This window comes from Homo sapiens, chromosome 1, assembly GCF_000001405.40.
Source record: "Homo sapiens chromosome 1, GRCh38.p14 Primary Assembly".
In the NCBI taxonomy this organism is placed as follows: Eukaryota; Metazoa; Chordata; class Mammalia; order Primates; family Hominidae; genus Homo; species Homo sapiens.
The window spans coordinates 112,761,453-112,766,161 of NC_000001.11; the positions used below are offsets into that span (position 1 = coordinate 112,761,453).

The 4,709-nt window shown below is 44.0% G+C and overlaps 1 annotated feature.

The window, feature by feature from the left end:
- Positions 1,409-2,036: an enhancer, noted in NCBI's record as "H3K27ac-H3K4me1 hESC enhancer chr1:113305483-113306110 (GRCh37/hg19 assembly coordinates)". NCBI's record gives its function as "activates a minimal SCP1, AML or CMV promoter by ChIP-STARR-seq in naive and primed H9 embryonic stem cells {active_cell/tissue: H9 hESC(naive and primed)}" and the evidence as "EXISTENCE:reporter gene assay evidence [ECO:0000049][PMID:30033119]".

Consider the following 4,709-nt stretch of genomic DNA (forward strand, 5'->3'; position numbering starts at 1 on the left):
TCAATTCTACAAAAATCCTGCTGGAGTTTTGATTGGTACTGTGTTTGATCTGTAGATTAATTTGGGGAAAACTGGATGGAATGTAAGAGTCAAAACCTAAACAAAGTTGATACTATAGCATTTATCATAGGGTTTTGAAATTGTCCGTTTATTGTTTTTCTTCCCCAAAAGGCTGTAAACACATTTAGGCCAGGGGCTGTGCTTTATTTGCCACTTATTGCTCACTGTTATATCCCTACCCCTGAACTGAGGCTAGCATGTAGTAGTTACTCAATACATATTTGTCACAGGAAGGCATATTTATTTGATTATTTATTTGTTTATTCAACAAATAAAATGAATTCTTACTTTCACTCTACTTTCTGTTTCCTTTATAGACAAAGTCTTCTCCTATTAATGCGTGTTGAATCACTATCATGTTTTAAGAAGTATGCCCGGGGCTCTGTGTGTCTTTTTGAAGCCTATGTATTTGTGTGTGTGGTGAGTGCATGCACATGCACGCCAGTCTGTGGGTGATGTATGTGTCCGAGCCACAAGAACCCTTTCTCTAATACCAGCCACTTGGATAGATGCATTTCGTTTCTTCCATCCTAGGATTTCTGGAGAGGCAGCTTGGGAAGGCCAGGTGTGGATAACATGTGTAAAGTGCTTCTTCTTTCCCTACGTGAATTAAACAATCATGTCTGTTTTTTTCATCTCTGAAACATGACCTTCCCCAAGTCTAGAGTTGGATGAAACTATCTTTACTTAGACAAATTTAGTGTAACTGCTGCCAGCTGGTAGAAGTGGTACTTTGTGGTTTTTAAGGTTGCTGTTCCATGGGTGCTATAGGAGCTCTCCCCGGGCTGGGTGAGAGGCTGAAGGAAGTGGTTCAGCTCCACGTTTATCTTTGGCTGTTTTCTCTGCCATTTGACTGAAGCAATTTTCAGTGACGAATGAAGTGAATGGTTAAAGCTTATTTTTCAATCAAAATTCAATTCCTGCAAGTGGAAGAGGGAGGAGAGAGAGGGTGTAAATCATTGATCAAACTTATTTAAGCACCAAGATTCCCTTCTGCAGAAAATCCAATTACCTGACAGAGGAAAAGAGCTCCTTCTCTGGAAATCCATGAGGCTGGGTGCTCTTCACACTAACTGATCCTGTTAGGGCCCAGCTGCTGGCTGCACCGGAAGTCAGCTTGGCACAGCAGAAGGAACAGATTCACTTGGGACTGGAATCTGGTTCTGCCACTTGCCGGCTCTGTGACTTTAGGCAAGCGACTTCACATTCCTCAGCCAATTTCATCCGTGAAAAGGTAATTAATAATTCCTACTATACAGAATTAGTGTCATGATTTGAGAACAAGGTATGTAATAGCATCACATGTTGTAGGCAGGCTGTAGATAGCTCTTGTTTTCATGCTTCTGGCTTGGGAGCTGGGTGTGAGCACAGACCTCTGTGTGAGTGCTTGGAGGTAAATGCCCTGTGTGGGAGCTGAGCATGTGTGGCGTGGCTGCGTGTAAGTAGAGCTCTGAGAGTCTCTACTTACTGTGGTCTCTCTATGGATTAAGAAGCCTGCATTCTCCAGCATTCTTGGAAAGGTCTCCAGAAAAGCATCAGAGGAAATCTCTGAAGGAATTTCTCAGGGGTTGTCTGGGAACTGTGGGGGCATTCCATCCCTTTCCTGGAAGCAGCAACAGCTCTCAGGCCCCATCTCTGCGCCCCTCTCAATCCCTGGTGACTTGTTAAAAGACTTCAAAGGATAAACTTCAGACTAGAAATCTTACTTGCCATTCACATTTTTTAACATTGAGGACACAACCCTGAAGAACATGTCTGTGCATGTCAATTAGCCTCTAGAGAGGGAGAAAGGAGAGAATAGAAGAGTCACAGACACAGAGCTGTCGAGGGCCAGAAAAATGCTGCAGTGGCCAGCGCGGTGGCTCACGCCTGTAATCCCAACACTTCAGGAGGCTGAGGCGGGTGGATCACCTGAGGTCAGGAGTTGGAGACCAGCCTGGCCAACATTGTGAAACCCCATCTCTACTAAAAATACAATAATTAGCCAGACGTGGTGGCGCATGCCTGTAATTCTACCTACTCGGAAGGCGGAGACAGGAGAATTGCTTGAACCTGGGAGGCAGAGGTTGCAGTGAGCTGAGACCGCACCATTGCACTCCAGCCTGGGCGACAGAGCAAGACTCTGTCTCAAAAAAAAAAAAAAAAAAAATGCTGCAGGTACGCAGGGGGAAAGGGAGTTACTCCCTGAATTTTGTAAAGAGCAACCTCAAGGACACACATGACTCGTGAGGGTAAAAACGACTCAGGATCAACAACAAAAGGGCCTGATCTCAGAGGAGAGTCAGTAGGATGAGAGGTGGCGCTGGCTTGGGGTTTCCCTTTTTGAAGAGGCAAATGAAGTGGTCTGTGCTGGGCTGCCCCTGCACAAGGAGGACAGAGGCCTCACAAGATGGAATGCAGTAGGCACTGGGAATATGGGGTGGGACCTGAAAATAGCCGTCCAAGCTCTCACTCCAGTCTTTCATTTTTACAATTTCAATAGCTTTTAAGGTACAGTGGTTTTTAGTTACATGGATGAATTGTATTTTGGTGAAGCAGACTTCGGTTTTTAGTGCATCTATCACCTGAGTAGTGTACAGTGTTCCCAGTATGTGGTTTTTTTACCCCTCACCCACTTCCCATTCTCCCCATTCTGAGTATCCAAAGTCCATTATACCACTCTTTATGCCTTTGTGTATCCATAGCTTAGCTCCCACTTGTAAGTGAGAACATAAGGTATTTGCTTTTCCATTCCTGAGTTACTTCACTTAGAATAATGCCTCCAGCTTCATCCAAGTTTCTGCAAAAGACATTATTTGTTCTTCTTTATGGCGGACTAGTATTCCATGGTGTATATATACCATATTTTCTTTTTCTTTCTTTCTTTTTTTTGTTTTTTGTTTGTTTGTTTGTTTGAGACAGGGTCTCACTTTGCTGCCCAGGCTGGAGTGCAGTGGCATGATCTTGGCTCACTGCAGCCTCCGCCTTCTGGGTCCAAGTGATTCTCCCACCTCAGCCTCCCGAGTAGCTGGGACCACAGGTGTGCACCACCATGCCCAGCTAATTTTTGTATTTTTTGTAGAGACAGGGTTTTGCCATGCTGCCCAAGCTAGTCTTGAACTCCTGGACTCAAGTGATCCTCCTGCCTCAGCCTCTCAAAGTGCTGGGATTACAGGCATGAGCCACCATACCAAGCTCTACATTTTCATTACCCACTCATTGGTTCACCCCAATCTTTCTTTCCTGCACCCACTAACGCCCGTCACTTATATCTGAACTCTTATTTTATTAGGAAGCATAAAAAATGAATCTTTATTTAACACCATGTACATTTATAAATACTATCTTATGGCCAGGTGCAGTGGCTCACGTCTGTAATCCCAGCACTTTGAGAGACCGAGGCAGGCAGATCACTTGAGGTCAAGAGTTTGAGACCAGCCTGACCAACATGGTAAAACCCACTCTCCACTAAAAATACAAAAATTAGCCAGTCGTGGTGGTGGGCACCTGTAATCCCAGCTACTTGGGAGGCTGAGGCAGGAGAATCACTTGAATCCAGGAGATGGAGGTTGCAGTGAGCCGAGATCATGCCACTGCACTCCAGCCTGGGCAACAGAGTAAGACTCTGTCTCAAAAAAGAAAAAAGAACACTATGTTATTTATTTATTTGTTTATTTATTTATTTATTTTGAGACAGAGTTTTGCTCTGTCACCCAGGCTGGAGTGCAGCGGCACGATCTCAGCTCACTGCACCCTCCATCTCCTGGATTCAAGTGATTCTCCTGCCTCAGCCTCCCGAGTAGCTGGGATTACAGGTGCATGCCACCATGCCTGGCTAATTTTTGTATTTTTAGTAGAAACAGGGTTTTACCATGTTGGTCAGGCTAATCTCAAACTCCTGACCTCAAGTGATCTGCCCACCTCAGCTTCCCAAGAAAACTATGTTATTTAATTCTAACATTGTTCATAGGAAGTAGATACTTAGGAAATATTATCTCCACTTTATAGATAAGGAAACTTGAACATCAAAAGGTCACACCTGGTCTGTCTCCTGACAATGGATCAGCCTGCTTCCATCCTTTGGGTCTTGAAAGTCTGAGTTGTTGCTATCAAATTATTTCAATCTTCATTTTTTCCCCTGGTTACCAAGTAAATGCATGTTGTGGGAAGTCAGGGACCCCAAACGGAGGGACCGGCTGAAGCCATGGCAGAAGAACATGGACTGTGAAGATTTCATGGACATTTATTAGTTCCCCAAATTAATACTTTTATAATTTCTTATGCCTGTCTTTACTGCAGTCTCTAAACATAAATTGTGAAGATTTCATGGACACTTATCACTTCCCCAGTCAATACCCTTGTGATTTCCTATGCCTGTCTTTACTTTAATCTCTTAATCCTGTCATCTCGTAAGCCGAGGAGGATGTATGTTGCCTCAGGACCCTGTGATAATTGCGTTAACTATACAAATTGTAGAGCATGTGTGTTTGTGCAATATGAAATCTGGGCACCTTGAAAAAAGAACAGGATAACAGCGATGTTCAGGGAACAAGAGAGATAACCTTAAACTCTGACCGCCGGTGAGCAGTCTCTTCTTTCAAAAGCAAATGGGAGAAATATCGCTGAATTCTTTTTCTCAGCAAGGAACATCCCTGGGAAAGAGAATACAT